This window comes from Homo sapiens, chromosome 2 (genome assembly GCF_000001405.40).
Source record: "Homo sapiens chromosome 2, GRCh38.p14 Primary Assembly".
Classification (NCBI taxonomy): domain Eukaryota; kingdom Metazoa; phylum Chordata; class Mammalia; order Primates; family Hominidae; genus Homo; species Homo sapiens.
The window spans coordinates 89551563-89569905 of NC_000002.12; the positions used below are offsets into that span (position 1 = coordinate 89551563).

Below are 18343 nucleotides of genomic sequence, written 5' to 3' on the forward strand. Positions count from 1 at the left end.
CTCCGTGCACATTAGGAAACCTGACATTGGTTTGCCTTCCAATGTCTCTCTTTGCTGTGGGGGCAATGCCCTGGGCACACATATTATCAGGACAATCTGCAATGGACTGGATGTTTGTTTCCCCCTTAAATTCATATGTTGAAGCTTAATGGCAATGTGGTGGTATTTGGAGGTGGGGTCTTTGGGAGGTAATGAGGTCATGACGGTAGGACCCTTGTGAATGGGATTAGCGCCTGTAAGAGGGGGCCAGAGAGCTTGTGCACTTCTTTTCTGTCATGTGAGGATGCAATGAGAAGACAGCTGTCTGTGACCTGGAAGAGGGCCCTCACCAGAACCCGACCATGCCAGCACTGGCACCCTGATCTTGGGCTTCCAGCCTCCAGACCTGTGAGAAATAAATGCCTGTTGTTGATTAGCCACCCAGCTTGTGCTATTTTGTTACAGCAGCTTGCACTGAGTAAGTTACTCCCTTACCTGCTGTAACCGTATACAGGAGGGGCCTGTGCATTTGGTAGCTTGGGTTCATCCCTGAGCCTGTGAAACTTAGATTTGAACTCATGTATTTTGGGTGCCATGATTCTTGTCGAGGCAGAGTGGAAGGGCAAGGGCATGGAGCTAGATATCCAGGGTGACAACAGGCTCCCATGGTGCCTGAGTGTGCATTAAAAAAAGCACCCCTTCCACAAGACATTCTCCAAACTGTCGAACCAAACCCACCAGCATCTTCCTACCTGCCCATGTGCCAGGGTGGGGGGAAAATTAGACATGTTTGTCTCCCCACTACAAATGTCGGCCAAAAGATCCAACTGGAAAATGCTTGCTACTACCTTCCAGTTTCACGACCCTCTCAGCTAAGGAAGCCCTTCCTGCATCCATGTCTCTCTATGCCTGTCTGTGAAGTCCCAGCTCACAGCTGACCTGGTTAGGTAAGCACTGTTATTTTGTTTCAACGGAGGGAACCTTTGGATTACATGTACATAGCTAGTCAGTGGCAGCATTTGGTTCATCACGCTGGTTTTAAAAACTCCATTGCCTTTTCTCTTCATTAGTCCTATCATCTTATGAAGAAAGTCAACTCAGTACAAATATCCGTCAAACAATGGCTTAGGGATATGCGTACAGAACAATCAAATCAGCTGACAGAATATCTGGCTTTTCACCCAGTTATAAAATGTTGTGCTTTGCTTAACATGGTGAAGAACGAAAGCTGCTAACAGCTGATTTCTTTCTCCCAAAATGTGAGCCCTGCTATGGGAGAGCGCAACCAGCAGGGGGCGCTGGCGTCTTTCCCTGAACTTCAGGGCACGCTTGAGAGATGGTACCTGGTGGGTGGGCAGTGGCCTCAAGTTACCAAACGAAGGGGTGGGCGCAAGGTGTGCTGATTGGACTCCATTGGCTGCGCTGGGTTCCCGTAGCGTATGTGAGAGATACCTGTCACCACTTCCCGGCTAAGACCCAGCCAGTTTCAGCAAGGACGTTCCCTCCACTGGACCCACCAGGACCCACTCCCTGCAGGGCACCATGGTCCCTCTCAAGAGGCTTTGGAGGAACTTGGGAGTTACAGGGTGTTCCCCTGATGGGAGAGTCCCTGGCATGCCACGTGTGAATGGGACTGAGTTGGGTGGGGGAGGCTGGGAGGGCACTTGTGCTGGGTGTGATGGGGGAATGTAGTCCATGTTAGTTCCTCCTAAGAGCAGCCACTAAGAGGACTCTGGGGAGGGACAGATGGGTGCAGTGTTTTAACCCACAAATGGAAGGGTAATTCTGGCATGATGGTGGTTTTAGCAATGTTAGTAATGCACGGACCACCATAACCATGATAGTGAAGCTACATGTCTAAAAAATGTAAATCAAATCAGACCACCTGCTAAAAACGATTCAATGGTTTCCCATTGCCCCCCCTCCCTTTTTTTGAGGCAGAGTTTCGCTCTTGTCACCCAGGCTGGAGTGCAATGGCATGATCTCAGCTCACTGCAACCTCCGCCTCCTGGGTTCAAGCGATTCTCCTGCCTCAGCCTCCTGAGTAGCTGGGATTACAGGCGCGCGCCATAACACTTGTCTAATTTTTGTATTTTTAGTAAAGATGTGGTTTCACCATGTTGGTCAGGCTGTTCTCGAACTCCTGACCTCAGGTGATCCACCCGCCTCGGCCTCCCAAAGTGCTGGAATTATAGGCATGAGCTACCGCGCCCCGCCCTCCCATTGCTTTTAGTAGAAAATACAAACTCCTACCCGTGGACTATTGGGGCTATCACGATCTGGGCTCTGCATCTCCATCTTCTCATGCCAATCCCATCCTCTGCCTCCCCAACCCCATCGCCCTTCCTCCTGCATGGCTGCAGCCACACCTGGCTTCTTCTCTTTAATATTCCTACCATGCCTGCCCCACAGGACCTCCGCAGGAGCTGCTCTCTCTGGGGTGTGCACTTCTGGCTCAGGGCAAGGATCCATCTTTCTCACCCTTCAGGCTGTGTGTAGATAGATGTCCCTCTGTAGTGAGGTCCTCACTATCCAGCTCATTACGCTTCACTTCGGCACCCTGTCCAGACCCTTCACAGTCAGCTGCCAGCTGTGTTTTCTTATTTATTGGTGCTCATCCAGTCCAGTCCTGGATGGGACTGCCTGCCTCATGAGGGCAGGAGCTTTGCCTTCTCCTCTCCCAGAACCTCCCTGATGTGGTTGCTTGGACACGTGGGCCACCCTCCCAACACCAGACTATCGCAGGGTGCGGGAAGGGCTGGGGCGCCGCGGGCCTTGAGGATCGCCATGTTTCCTTCTCTAGTTTTTGAGACATTGGTGAAGATCCTCTGCCTGCTTCTAGCACACACATCCTGACCTCCTTCTGCCTTCAAGACACAAGATGGCGCTTTAAGCCTTGTTGTTAAGAAAGAGGACTACAAACGCTTGAGTTTCTTCCCTCTGCTCGCTCTCAGACGTGGCTTGCGAGGGGATTTGTGGGGTCCACCTCTCCACAGCTTGGTGGGTGGGTTCCGTCCTCCTCCTCGGACAGGGCAGGACCAGCAGCCAATCACTCCTTCCTGCCAGAGAAGGAAGTGGCGCTCAAACTGTTTTTCTGACATCAGTAATATCTGCCTACACTCCTCCAGCAGGCATCTCTGAAACATCAGTTTTGGGTGATTGGTCTAAGCCAAGCACCTTTGATAGCAAGGGTAAGCCCGCTATCCTTTGCTGGAGATGGGCATGGAGAGGGCATGTGAAGAGTGCCAGACCAGGCGTTGACAAGCTATGGCTCATGAGAAGAATGGAGTGTACATTTTTAAAGGGTCATCTCTCTCTCTCTCTCTCTCTCTCACACACACACACACACACACACACACACACACACACACAGAATATGCTGCAGAGATCATATGTGACCTGACAAGCCTAAAATACTCACTATCTGGTCCTTTATAGGAAATGCTTACTGACCTCTGGTCTAAACACTGAGAGGTAAGGGACCTCTGCTGCACCGCCCTGGAGGGATTTTTGATCCCTAAATAAGAAGAGGTGAGGAGGAAGCCTGCCCTTCCTCCTGGCCTGAATGTGCTTCTGAGAGGCAGTCAAGCCTGGAACTGTGGCAGCCGGCTTGTGACCATGAAGAAACCAGCCCAAGAAGAAAGGCCAACCTGCCAAGGAGGGAACAGGAGCCTGGGGCCTCGAGGACTTTGCTGAGCCTTCGTGTGACCCTGGAGCCACCTTCCTCTGGAGTTCTTGTGATGGCAGATAATTCAATGTTGTCATTGTTCAAGCCAGGGGTGGGCGAACTTTTTCCATAAAGGGCCACATGGAAAACATTTTAGGCTCTGTGTGGGCCATGAGATCTCTGTTGGCACTACAACCCTAAAAACAACCATAGACAATGTGTAAATGAATGGGTACACCTATGTTCCAATAAAACTTTATAAAAATAGATGGTGGGCTGAATTTGGCCCTGAGGGCCAGAGTTTGCTGTGTATTTTGTTTGTTTGTTTGTTACTTGCAGCTGACCTATCCTAACTAGTACTCCCTGAAGTCTGCCTCAGCTCAGAAGCGTCCTTGGGTTCCAAGCCACAGGGGCTAAGCTTGAGTGCGGGTGGGGTCTGCAGCAGGGTGGTGGGAGGGATAAGCACATAAAGGCCCACACATTGATCTGCCCTTTCTATGGTCCAGGTCGTGCTTTCCTGCAATATCTTCTCATCATGGGCCTAGCAATCATGATGGGAAGGCCCCACTTTAAGAGAATGCTTTCAGCATTTCCAGGCGGTCCCTGCTTGCCCTCAACACTACATGTAGGCCTCAGCTTCCACACCTAGCATGTTTGTTAAGCAAGACTAAGCCACATGAAGCAACAGGGCAAGGGGAGGGCCCTTGTGTTCTCAGGGTCCCACGGCAGAAGTGTGGTTCCGGGAGAAATGGGGGAGTGTGCCCTTCCCTGAACAAGCATATTCCCTCAGTGTGGAGGAGCCCCTCCAAAATTTACAAGTGCTGTGATGACACGATGCTCATTCAGACCACCGGCTGCAGACAGATTGCAGAAATACGTAAGGGCTCTGTCCTTGGAGGTAGGATCTGGTTGCTCCTTGTTCCCTAAGCTTGGCCCTGAAGGGAGGGCAGGATTCCAGCCAGAGTGAATGAAGAGTGAGGCTTTGGGGAAGGGCTCAGATTGCCCCTCGTGCTTGTGTTCAGATTCCTGCTGATTGGTTGTTCCCCAGGGAGACGAGGCTTCAAGGCCAGGTCTCTGCTCTGAGTTAACTTCACCACCCTGCACCTTGGTGGCAGTAAGAGAGTGACCTCAAAGGGCCGCTGAGAGAATTGAGGTGGATGCCTGTACAGCTCTAGGTATGGCACCCATTCCGGCCCCCTGGCAAGCTCTTACTACGGTTGCAGATGTAATTTCCAGTCTCTGCCTCCAGGGATTGCTGCTGAGCACAGACACGTTTCTCTGCTCACAGAGTGAGGCCGCCAAGATGATTCTCAGATCTCTGGTTCTGTATACAGCCCAGATAGCCTGTGAAAGGGGGAATGATAACTCCCAAAGATGTCCACGTCCTAACCTCCAGAACTAGTGAATGGGATGTTGGCAGAAGAGACTCTGTGGATGAGATTACTTCAAAGATTTGCGACGGGGAGACTATTGTGGGTTATCTGTGTGGATACGCAATGTCATCACAAAGTGTCCTTATAGATGAAGAGGGAGGCAGAGGAGATTCGACTACAGAAGAGAAGGTGATGTGACCGTGGAGGCAGAGATTGGAGTGATGTGCCCACAATTCACAATGCCAGCAGCCACCAAAGAGGCAAGGAATGGATTCTCCTCTAGGGCTTCTACCAAGGGTCCTGGCAACACCTCAGTTTTAGTCCAGGAAGACTCGTTTTGGATTTGTGACCTCCAGAACTATGAGAGAATACATCTGTGTTGTTTGAAGCTGCCAGGTTTGCAGTAGTGTGTTAGAGCAGCGTGGAAAATCCATTGAGTCCCATTGCCCTGCTTTTTATGCCTTGTACAAAAGCAGAAAATGGTATGGATGGAATGGGAGGTCATTATGTTAAGTGAAACAAGCCAGGCACAGAAAGACACACATTGCGTGTTCTCACTGATTTGTGGGATCTAAAAATCAAAACAGTTCAACTCATGGAGCTAGAGAGCAGAAAGGTGGTTACCAGAGCCTGGGAAGAGGAGTGGGGGGCTGAGGGCAGGTGGGGATGATGTTAGAAAGAATGAATAAGATGTACTGTTTGATCACACAGCAGGATGACTGTAGTCATTAATAACTTAATTGTACATTTACAAATAACTAAAAGAGTGTAATTAGATCGTTGGTATTAGAAAGGATAAATGTGCCGGGTGCAGTGGCTCAGGCCTGTAATCCCAGCACTTTGGGAGGCTGAAGTGGGCGGATCATGAGGTCAGGAGATCGAGAGCATCCCCGTGAACACTGTGAAACCCCATCTCTACTAAAAATACAAAAAAAAATTAGCCTGGCATGGTGGCGGGCACCTGTAGTCCCAGCTGCTCAAGAGGCTGAGGCAGGAGAATGGCATGAACCTGGGGGGCGGAGCTTGCAGTGAGCAGAGATCACGCCATTGCACTCCAGCCTGGGTAACAGAGCTGGACTCCATCTCAAAAAAAAAAAAAAAAAAAGAAAGAAAGAAAGGATAAATGCTTCAGGGATGGACACCTCATTCTCCATGATGTGCTTATTTCACAGTGCATGTCTGTATCAAAACATCTCATGTACCTCACATATATATGCACCTAATGTGTACCCAGAAAAAAATTAAAAAGAGCATAAAAGAAAAAAAAAAAAAACAAAAAACAAAAGCAGAAAAGAGGGCAAATGAGAGTCGGGGACTGTGATCTCATTTTGCCCAGGATGAAGCTGGGTGACCCGGGTACAGAGCAAGCCCCTTGGCTTCTTGAGCTCCCATGTGCAGAGTGAGGGGCGGATGCAGGGGCAGGGTGTGACTTTGATGAACATTCCCTCCAGGTGGCTCTGCCCTCGGCCCCCTCTCAGGATTGTTTGTAGCTCTTTGCCTCTTCTTGGCCATTTGGAGTTTTCAGGGGCCCTACTAGGTCCTCTTGACTTCTCACTTTGCTCTCCTTGGTGGTCTAATTCATGGCCAAGGGCCTACCTGCCGTCCAGACACTGCTTTTCAACCTGACCTCTCAGCTCCAGGCTGGTTATTTCCAACAGCCTACTTGGGTGTCTCAAAGGCACTTTACACTCAATGTGTCCAACACTGAACTCAAGGCTCCCGGCATCGCCAGTTATCCCTCCACATTTCCAACCCTATGGATTGCACTAGCGTCTGTCCATTATGCAGGCCAGGCTGCAAAGGCTGTCTCAACGCTGCCCTTATGCTGTCGGGGCTTAGAACATGACACCCCAAAGCATGGTGCCTCAGCCTGAGTATTTTGAACTGAAGGACATTGGAAGGAACTCAGAAGCAAGGTCTTTCCAACCTTCTCCTCATACCCTCTCTTCTGCTTGCCTTCATCCTCCAAAGTGAGTCACAGAAACCAGAATTTATCTTCCTCAAGATGGGTCATAGAACCTAGAAACCCTCCTGCTAAAGCAAACCATAAAACCTAGAAAGGTCACTCTCTATCTTCTCCTTCTCCTTTGAAAACTCTCATTTCAGAAAGGGTCCTGCCCCATACCCAGGAGGAATGGAGGCTACACAGAGAGGCTGAGAAGAATCTGAGCAGACAGTTTTGCTGGGTCCCCTTTCAGTCTGTTCCCAGTAGGTCATACCCGTTTGTCCAATCACATTTCTATCTGGCTGTCCATTCTTCATCTAATCTAAGCATAAAAATTAACAGTTTTCCCTGGGCCTTTGGGTTGTCATTTCTGAAGCCTCCCATGTCACATAAAACTTGGATTAAATAAATTTGCTCTGTTTTTCTCTTGTTAATATGTCTTTTGTTATAGGAGTGTTGGCCGTGACCCTTGAGATGGATAAGTAAAGGACTCACACCTTCACAGCCCTACAGCCCCATCTCCAATAAGTAGCCACACCTGCCACTTCTACCCACAAATACCTGGATTCTGCTCATCTCTTCCCATTGTCATTGCTACCACTCAATTCCCTGTCACCGTCATCTCCTGATGGGTCTTCTGGAGCAGCTTCCTCACTCATCTCTCCAGTTCATCCCTTGCTTCTACCAGTCTGTCCTTGCTATGGTAAAACGGGCATTTGAGAAAGGCAATTACACGGTTACCCCTCCCCTGCTCAGCACTCTCCAATTTGATGGACACCAAAATCCTTGCCTTGGTCCCCTTGGTCCTGCGTGCCCTCCTCTCTGGCCTCATCTCAAGCCACTGCCCTCGTGCTGCACTCTTCCTCTGTAATCCACACTGCTGGCTTCTTTTCCTTGAATGTGCTATGCTCCCTCCTGCTGCAGGAGGGCCTTGCACTTGCTGCTTCCTCTTCTTTCTTCTAGTGAATTCCTATTCCTCCTTCAGCTCTCCATTCAAGCCAGTGCCTCAGGGAAGTCTTCCCTCACCTCTAGACCAGGTCTGGTGTCCCTGCCATGAAGCCTCACAACACCATCCAGCTTTCCTTCCTTGCATCTGTCATAGCTTTTGATCATACAATGATGTGTGGGACTTTCTGAATAGTGGTCCCTCTTTACCAATTAACTGTGAGCCTCAAGAGGAAGGAATAATGTCTGTTTGCTCCTCCTCTGTATCCCTAGTGGTGGTAGAAGAGGAGGTCAATAATTATCCTCAAATGAACTAAAATGAATGGATGCTTAGATTTTTTTTTTTTGAGACAGGGTCTTGCTCTGTTGCCCAGATGTGATGATCATGGTTCACTGCAGCCTCAACCCCTGGGGCTCAAGTGATCCTCCCACCTCAGCCTCCCAGGTAGCTGGAACTACATGCATCCACCTCTATGCCTGGCTAATTTTTGTATTTTATTTTATTTTATTTTTTTAGAGATGGGCTATTTTTACGTTGCCCAGACTCGTCTCGAACACCTGGGCTAAAGCAATCTGCCCACCTCGGCCTCCCAAAGTACTGGGATTACAGGCAGGAGCCACTGTATCTGGCCCAATGCTTAAGATCTTTTGAGACAAAAAGGAGGAAGTGGGAGATAGTTTCAATACCACAGGAAGCTCAGAAAAAAAAAACACCCCCCAACCCCCCCAAAAAACATACATGTATTTATTTGATATTTGGCTGTGCAGGTTAAAAAGTTATTTATTTATTTATTTATTTGCTTTTGGAAAAACTCGAGTCAGCTTGATGAGGTCACTTTTTCCTGCTACTCCTTCTTATTTGGGGAGTAAAGGGACTTCCATGATCTGGATGGATGATTGTGATGAGGAGGTTACCGGGATTGCCCTGAGAGAATGGACTGTGAGCTTTCAGGGATGGAAGCTGCATCTTCATCTCTATAATCCCTTGTTTGGCACAGTGTCAGCCTGAGAAGATGCTTGGCGGCAAATATGAATTATGGCACACACTGTTAATTTCTTATCCATGAGCAGTTCCTTTGCTTGCTAACAGAAAATCCTGATTTTGCTTGGATAAACAAAGTGTCCAGTGTCAGTTGATGACTCAAGGTTGGTTTAAGCCAGGCTGGGGCCTTTTGTTCCTTTTTGCCTGATACTTGAAAGAGTTTACAGTAGGGACTGTCCTGTGGTCCACTTCTGGATAATGAGACATAAGGAGAAGTCTGCTGTGTCCTTCTAAGAAGATTTTCTTCACTGGTTAAAGGCGAGAGACACATCAAGAAAAGCCCCCTTTGACATAGCTTCCTCCATCTTGTTCCTGGAGTCTGAACTTGGTCATGACGGCTGGAGCTATAACAGCCATCCTGTGATCATGAAGCTCCAAGGGTATAAAGCAGTAATATTCAGGAAGGTGGAGCCTTTGGACAAAATGATAAAAGGAATCTGGGGCCTCAGCTACATCACTGAGCCTTTTCAAGTCCTTGCCTTCTTCCTCTTAAATCCTGTTATGTTACATAACTAAATGTCTTTATTGCAAAAGCCACAAGTAGTCAGGCTTTCTGTTATTCACAGCTGAAAGCATTTCTCTTATTTTCAAATAATTTCAGACTTATAGAAGAATTAATTGTAAGGCAAAGAACTTTCATGCCCTTCACCCACCTTCACCAATTGTTATTTGCCACATTTACTTTCTCCATCTATATAGTCTATTCTACTCTATTATCTTTCCCTGAACCATTTGAAATTCAGTTGCAGGCATCCTTCTCCTCTCCCTTAAACATTTCAGAACATATTCCATCAGAACAAGAAGACTCTAGTGCTCAAGTTCGGGGAATTTGAGGTTGATGCCATACAATCGTGTAGTCCTTGATAATTGTCTAATATACAGTTCACTTAAAATTTCGCCAACAGTCCCAATAATGCCCTTTAAGGCACGTTTCCCCTGATCCAGCTGTCATACCTTTTTAGTCTCCCTTAATCTGGAACAGTTCCTCTGCCTCTTTTTGTCTATCATGGGGTTGACACCGAAGAACAGTTCAGGTCAGTCCTTGAAGGTCCCTCCATCTGTGTTTGTCTGATGTTTCCTCCAGGGACCGGAATGCTACAGAAGCAATGCTGTGTTCTCAGTGTATCACATCAAGAGACACTTGGCACCCATTTGTCCTATTCCTGGTGTTGTTAACTTTGTTCAGCTCATTAAGGGAGGACCTGCTGGGTTTCTCTACTGTTAAGTTACCACTTTTTCTCTTTGCAATTAATAAACCATATGAGTGGAAGTGCTATGAGACAATGAAAACATACTTTACCTTCTTAAATTTTCACTCAGTGATGATTCTTCCTTGAATAAACTATTATGATCATGTTTGCAAATGGAGTTTTCTATTATTCCCTCTGTATTTATTCATTGGCATTCTACCGTAAGAAAGTCTTCTTCCTTCTTCCCTCCCTCCGTCCCTCCCTCCCTCTCTTCTTCTTTCTTTTCTTCCTTCCCTTTTCTTTCTTTCTATAGTTATAGGTTCTCATTTTATTCAATAGACTATAATCTACCATTATCATTATTAATTTGGATGCTCACATCATCCCAGATTTGGCCAGTGGAAGCCCCTTGAAGTTGATTGATGTGTCCTTTGACATGTCCCTGTCATTTTTTAAATGCTTCCTTGCTTTCTGGCACCACACAGCACTCTGGGCTCACCTTGTACTTCCCTACCCCAGCCTTAGCATCAGCCATTTCTACAAGGAGCTCTGAGTCCTTTTAGTGAAGGGTGGTATTTATAAACCACAATCTGGATGGTTTGTGGATATTGCACAGCATTCAGTCAGAAGCCATGGGAAATGAAGCGACATTTATTGAAACTTGTATTAGTCAAGCAACTTAATGCTAGGCTAAGTTGCAGTGAGTAATAATCCCTAACCCCAGTGACAGTGCAGAAAAAGAAGGGTTTCATATGTGGAGTGTGATGCATGTCAATGGGAGTTTCCTCCACCTGGTGACTCAGGTATCCAGGCACATTCATCTCTGCAGGTCTGCCATCTTGACACGAGGTCATTGCAGAAGGAGAGAGGGTGTAGAGTCATGCCAGTTCTTAGGTGCTCCTGACAAGGAGATCTGCAGCACTCTGCTCACATTCCTGTTTTCCAGAACTCAGCCAGTACCCAGTGCAACTGCCAAAGAGTCTGGGAAGCATAGAGAGTACACGGATAGCTGGAGATCCTTCATCACTACTGTCATATGTTCATTTATGCAATACATATCAATGGGTTCACCCCAGTCAGGCTGACTCCAAGAGGCTAAGATGACTTCACCTTGGGTGGTTTGCAGCTGGGAAAGAAAGGCAAGTCGGCACTGATCGAACAGATCATTCACTTCAGTGGGCTGTCGAGCTGTGCTAGAGGCAGGTGCAGTGTGCTGCAGAAATACAGATGGTGACTACTACCCTGGAGTCTTGGGGAGATCCTGGTGTGCATTGGTGTGGGGTTGGAAAGGTGAGTTGGCACTCACCCCCTTCAAGAAGAAGTGGGAAGGACATTTCAGGCAGGGGCAAGTGCAAAGGCACAGGGCCTGAAAGAACTAGGCTGGGAGAAGAGGATGGCATTGGAATGGGTGGGAGAGGGGTCTGCTGGGGAAAGCTGGGGAGGCAAGAGACGAGGCTGGACAAGCAGATTGTGAAGGGCCACACTGAGGAGCTGGGGATTAGTACATTAATTTTTATTAATTGGATTAATGATTAATAATGTGGGTTGCAGGGAATCATAGGGAGTGTGAAGAACACTGTGGTTGTGTTTTAGGAGGATTGCCTTGGTGGTAGAGCGTTGGATGGAGGAGATAGGAGTGGGGGTGAACACATCAACACAGAGAGACCTGCCCAAAGGCTCTGGCAGCCATGCAAGCAAAAAGCGTCGAGGACCTGAATTAGGAGGTGGCACTGGAGATGGATAGAAGGGGTTGGCTGGTGGAGCCATTTTGAGATAATGAATCAATAATAGCTTCCATCTATTGTGGATTGTCAAGATGTATTATTGGCTCACAATCCTTCCTGGCCTTCTCACATTCCTGCGACTTCCCTGTGGACAGGACAGAGCAGATTTCTTGCTGTGCACATGACCAGCTTTGGCTAGAGATGCATGAGCAGAGTTAGTGCATGCCTGGTCTGACTGGAGGCTCTAACTGAATGTGGTGTTGGGTGGCAGCACTGACCCCACCCCTGCACAATGAGAAGAGCAAGCTCCAGGGAACCACCGGCCTGTGAATGAGACACACAGAAGCAAACAGAGCCTGGCCCCCAGTCCGAGGCAAGGCTTCCCAGCTCACTGCAAATTATTAGCAAGAAATAAACACTTGTTTTGAGCTGCTGAGCCCCTGGGGCTGTGTGTTATGCAGCAATGCTGTAAAAACACTTGACCAATACAGGGACTTGCCCTTTCGTAAGTACAGCATCTCATTTACCCATGATATCTCTTCATAGTAAGGATTAGGGATGCCATTTTAAAGATGAGGCAACTGAGGCTTAGAGAGGTTACGTCACTTGCTTAAGGTTCCAGAGCTGGTAAGTCAGAGAAGGATTTGAAGCCAGGACTGTCTCCTAAGCCCATCCTTCTGCCTCTGTCTACACAGTGCTGCCTTTCAAAGGTGGCAAGCTCCTGAGTTAGCCATTTTAACCTGCCAGAAACCTCCTTGCTCCTGAACTGGGGAGAGGGACTGAGCTTTGGATTTCAAGAGGAGGATCTAGGGCCACCATCAGGGGTTCTGTGCTTGAGGTGATGTGGCTGGCTCATCACCTGAGCTTTTCCACCTGCCCCTCCCCATCCCCTCCCCTCTACCCTGCTCCCTGCCCTGTGCCAAGCTGAGCACATTGGCAGGGCTGGTGGCTGGGAGCTCAGCGTGTATCCTGTAGCCACAGAACAGAGCTTTTGTTGCTGTAATACAGAGTTCAGTCTTGATATCAGCAGTGGGTGCAGTAAAATCCCACCGATTTTCTTATCAAGTTTTCCATTTGTGTCAGTGAAGCAAATCCAATTTAAAATACATCTTCAGAAAAAGGAGGGTCAGTGAGTTCAAACAGAAGAATATTTGCTAACTGGATCAGGAAACCTTGCTCTGTGCTAAACTGTTTGAGGAAAATCCTCTTAGCACAATTTTGCAGGAGCCAGGCATGTGAAAGGATCATTTCCTCACTATCATCCCCTGAGATCAGGGCTCTGGCTGGATGAAATGAGGCAGGAGTTTATTAGCTGCTTAGCTGATTAGAGCCTGTGCTGATGAGGCTGAGGTCTGACAAGTCAACATCAGAGAGAGATCTTGGTTTCCAGTAGTTTTTAATTCTGCCCAACTCTTTGTGGGAAAGAGCCTGGGTAAGACAGGACACCAACTACTTGCTCAAAACCACCATCCCCACCAGACAAGCAGCTCATGGAACCCTCCCTGGGAAAGACTGAAGGCTGTGGAGACCTAGCCGCATATTATATTATATTTTGCATTATAAGGTCTTATCGATACAGAGAAAACTCTCAATTTCAAAAAATGATGAGAAACTCAGTCTTTTTTTTTTTTTAGATAGTCTTGCTCTGTCTCATCTCCCAGGCTGGAGTGCAGTGGCACAATCTCAGCTCACTGTAACCTCTGCCTCCTGGTTCAAGTTATTCTTCTCCCTCAGCCTCCCGAGTAGCTGGGATTACAGGTGTCTGCCACCTCACCCAGCTAATTTTTGTATTTTTAGTAGAGATGGGGTTTTGCCATGTTGGTCAGGCTGGTTTGAGCTCCTGACCTCAGGTGATCTACCCACCTCAGCCCCTAAAGTGCTGGGATTAAAGGCGTGAGCCACCACACCTGGCCAAAAAATGAAGAGAAACTCAGTGTTTTGGATAACAGGGAGAATGTTTAGTGTTCTAAAAATGTATCCTTTCACATGTAAAGCTTCTTGCCTCTGAACCTTTGCCAGTGCTGTTCCGTCTGCTAGGGTTGTACTTCCACCCTGCATGCTGGTGAATTCCACTTTGCCCTCCAGCCCAAGCATCATATTTTCCAGACAGCCATTTGCCGTGCTGCCCACCAAACAGGCTGTCCCTTGTTCTCATGCCACTGCTGAACATTGTTTATTCCTTGTGCTAGGCAGGGCTTTGTCAGTTGTAACAACTGAAACTCCACTTAGACATGTTTCAGCTAAAGGGTGACTTATTGATTTTTATAACTGCAAAGACCATGGTATGCCTGAATTTTGAGGTTCAAGTAAGTTATTTTCTCTCTCTCTCTCTCTCCTCTTCCTCTCCTCCTTCTCATTTTCCTTCTCTTTTTCTTTCCTCTCCTCCTTCCCTCCGTTCTTCTTTTCCTTCTTTTTCTCTTTCTTCCTCTCTCCTTACTTTTTTCTCTTTCTCTCCCTTTAATTTGCTCTATTCTCTATATGGGCCTCATTCCTTCTACTGCAAATAAGGAAAATGACCACCTGGAAACCCAAGGCCCACCACATCCCAGCAGAGCCACCCCAGCTGAAAGAAACCCAGCTTCTCCCTCAAGCATCTACACATCAATCCAGGCCAGAACTCCATCTGACCCTTGTGAGACATGCTTCCACACCTCGGTGGACCACTGAGGCTCGGGAATTCAGCATAATGATGGGCACTTCTGGGGTCATGGGCCTTCCCTGTAGCTAAGGTGACAAAAGGACAGACTGGTCTGGAATGTCCATGCCAGCTGGCTTACATGCCCAGCCATTGATGCTGGCTGTTTTCTGGGAGCTCAGTTGTGCTCTAGACCAGAAAACCTCCATGTGGCCTCTCCACATGACCCTCATTTCTCAGCATGGTGGCTGCGGCCCAACGGGGAGACTCTCATGAGCAAAGATTCCAAAAGACCAAAGTGGCAGCTACGAGCCTCCTCATGGCTGAGCCTCAGCCCCCATGCAGCATCAGAGCCACTGCAGTCTTGGCTTCCCAGGAGGCCAGCCCAGAAGCAGCAAGAAAGGGGACCTGGAAACCAGGAGGTTTGGTTCGAGGGAAGGCCCTCTGATATAATTTGGATATTTATCTCCACCCAGATTTCAAGTTAAATTGCAGTCTCCAGTGCTGGAGTTGGGGCATGGTGGGAGTTGTTTTGACCATGGGGGTAGATCCCTCATGGCTTGCTGCTGTCTTTGAGATAGTGAGTTCTTGTGAGATCTGGTTATTTAAAAGTGTGTGGCATGTCCCTCCCCACACCCACTGACTCTCTCTTGCTTGTTCCTGCTTTGGCCACGTGATGTGCCTGCTCATGATTGTAAGCTTCCTAGGCCGCCTTAGAAGCCAAGCAGATGCCAGCACCATGCTTCTTGTGAAGCCCGCAGAACAATGAGCCAATACAAATCTTTTCTTTATAAATTAACTTATCTCAGATATTTCTTTATAGCAACGCAAGAATGGCCTAATACGCCATCTTTGGAGACTAGCTGGCACATGGGCCTTCTCCATCTGTAGCTACACTTCTAGAACAGACATGGCTTCCAAGGCCACTGCAGCAGCTGGAGGAAGAGCTCAGGGTCCTGTGGGATGTTCCTCAGGCTCAGATCTGTGGTTCTGCCCACATTCTATTGGCCATAATCTCGCTCCCTAGCCTCCACTTGACAGCAAGGAACCTAAGGGAAGGGATCTGCTGAGGGCAATCTCTGCCACAAGGAGCAAGTGAAAGCAAGTAGAGAGGAAGCCAAGACTGATGCCCAAGTGGGAGAGGTGCTGAGGAGAGAGGTCTTTTTTTTTTTTTTTTGACAGAGTTCTGAATGTTTCAGAGTAGTCCAAGTGCACCCAAAAGCACAATAATTAAATGAGGGGCAGGAGAGTGGTTTAGAAGAAGATTGTTTTTCTGGATTCAGCTCCAACAAAGTTTGTCCTGCAGGTCTTGGTGCTGTGCCATGGTCCTTCTCGCCAATAATATTCAGCCTGGATACCCCGCTGTGGCTCTACCAGGGAGGAAAATATTTTCCTGCCACTGCCCTGAGCCTCCTGACTGACCCCAGCTGCCTTGCACATCCCAGCTTTTGGGACTACCCCAGACCTCCCTATAACCAGCAATCAGAGGCTGGCACAGCAAGGGTGCTTTGGAACCCTGCCTGGTGCTCCAGGGTGACAGGCAGCACCTGCTGTCATTGGTCAGTGTCTGTGCAGTATTTGCTAGAGTTTTGTGGATCTCAGCCTTGAAATCTGTGTCTTTCTACAGTCAAAGGATCTGAGTTGGGAGAAGACACCTAGATATGCTCCACCATAGCGTTCTGGTGTTTCCTGTCATCTCTGAAGCCTCTGAGCTCTTATAACGGGGGCTTAAAGATGGTAGCATTGAGATATGAAGGCTTGTAGTTGTTGTCCAGTTCAGGGGACTTTAACTCCAGGTATCTGGAACTTAGAATAAATCCTCATGCCCTCACCATGGCAACAGGGCTCACCTCCTCTGTCTCATACCTCTCCCTCCCTTGGCCACTATTGCTACAGATATCCTGACCCTTTTACCTCTTTATCAAATAAGCCCACTCTGCCCCAGGGCCTTTGCATGGGCTTACTTTCCTCCAAGAATAATTTACTCCTGATATTTGCCTGACTAAATCCTTCTCACCTTTCTGATTGCAAAGAGGCTTCCTTGACAACTCATTCTGAAGCAGCTTTTCCCTCCAGTCTAGCTACTTTCTCTTTCGTTATTCTGTTTGATTTTATTTACAGCACTTAGCGCTGTATGACACTGTTTATTTTGAAATTGTTTATTTCTCTCTCCTCAATAATATAAGCCCAAAAAAGACAATGAATATGTTTTTGATTCTGTTTCTATCCCCTGGCCCTAGAATAGGGTCTGGGAGATAGTTGCAGCAGAATCCCTAGCTGAAATGGCAATCTTGTGCTAACTGGAAGAAAAGAGCTCCCTTGCCCCCATCCCTGTTTTTTTTTTTTTTTTTTTTTAGATGGAATCTCCCTCTGTTACCCAGGCTGGAGTGCAGTGGTGTGATTTCGAAGAGAGCCCTTTCTTGATATACTTTGTCATCTTCTGCTAGAAGTTTTTTATACTCATTATACAAACCCACCCTATCTGTGATGTACACACCCTGTATGGCCCTGCTTCCACCCCAGCAAAAATGCTTGTGGAATGAATGAATGGATTGGTGGAAGTCAGGGGGACTGGAACATCTGCAAACAAATGTCAGTGTGTGTGGCCAGTGTCTGTGCACCTTTCTTGATTGACTGAATCTTCTGTGCATTGATTTCATGGTATTGGGCACAGAATCCCCTTTTTTGCTCATTACCAACAAAGATTTGTCAAGCACCCACTCACTGTGTTCACTTGGGGAATTCAGACATGAACAAGACACAATTTCTTGATTTAAGAAGCTGAGATTCTAGAAGGCCAGGCAGTGATGTGAAAGATGGTGCATTCCAGGGTCATAACGGCTGCACTAGGAGCCAGCCCAGGGCTCTCCTGGAGCATAGGACACCTGTTCAGTGCAGAGGACTCAGTAAGTCTTTCTGGAGAAGTGATTGAGCTGGCTCTGCAGGATGGAGAGGTTTGAAAATTGCTAAGTGCTTTGTACAACTTATAAAAATCCACGTTGCCCAGTTTCCAAGCAGTCTCATGTTCAGTAGACAAAAGGCAATTTTCAAACTGAAATTCTTTACTTGCATTTCTATTTCTATTTTCCTTCCTTCCTTCCTTTCTTCCTTCCTTCCTTCCTTCTTTCCTTCCCCCACCCCACCCCCTGAGTCTTGCTCTGTTGTCCAGCAGACTGGAGTGCAGTGGTGTGATCTCGGCTCACTGCAACCTCCAACTCCTGGGTTTGAGTAATTCTCCTGCCTCAGCCACCTCTCTATCTTTCTGTAGCTGGGATTACAGACACATGCCACCATGCCTGACTAACCCAGATGGGGTTTCACCATGTTGGCCAGGCTCTTCTTGAACTCCTGACTTCAAGTGATCCACCTGCCTCTGCCTCCCAAAGTACTGGGATTACAGGTGTGGGCCACCGCGCCCGGCCCTTTACTTGCATTTCTTAAGTTGTGTGAAGTCAGTAGGGATTGTTCTCTAGAATTCCCTTTTACTCTCCTATCCACATTCCCCCAGATTGTAGTTCCCTCACCTCTTTCACACAATCTTACCTGCAAAACTCCACCCACAGCTTTCAATACCTCTCCCCACTTCTCTGCTCTTTATTGTGAAGACAAGCACAGTTTCTTCCTTTTGGGACCATTCCTCCCTGCTCTGGCTTTTCAGGTCTAATAATGTATCCATTCTCTATCACAAAAGCCAAGCTAGAATCCTCTTTGGAGCACAGCCCAGGTCAAGAAACTGCATAGATACAGCAGAGGGAGAAACGAGGTTCAGAACACTCATGCATTAATTGTTTTGATCTCATCACAGTTTCTTCCTTTTGTTTTTTTTTTCTGAGGTGGAGTCTT

General features: G+C 47.7%; 1 pseudogene and 1 further gene across 7 annotated transcripts in view; one reads left to right on the forward strand and one right to left on the reverse strand.

The window, feature by feature from the left end:
- Window positions 1-18343, forward strand: part of IGK (immunoglobulin kappa locus) — a 1378008-nt gene that overhangs the window by 694202 nt on the left and 665463 nt on the right.
- LOC107985911 (lymphocyte specific protein 1 pseudogene) overlaps window positions 1-18343 on the reverse strand; it is a 42827-nt pseudogene that overhangs the window by 8724 nt on the left and 15760 nt on the right. For 2 of the 7 annotated variants that reach the window (NR_160762.1, NR_160764.1), the window contains one exon: window positions 10419-11122. The exons of 3 other annotated variants lie outside the window; for them this stretch is intronic. The product of NR_160762.1 is annotated as a lymphocyte specific protein 1 pseudogene, transcript variant 2 (transcript). Of the gene's footprint in view, window positions 1-10418; window positions 11268-16785; window positions 17440-18343 lie in introns of those variants that run through there. 2 more of the 7 variants (NR_160766.1, NR_160767.1) reach the window with 2 other exon arrangements.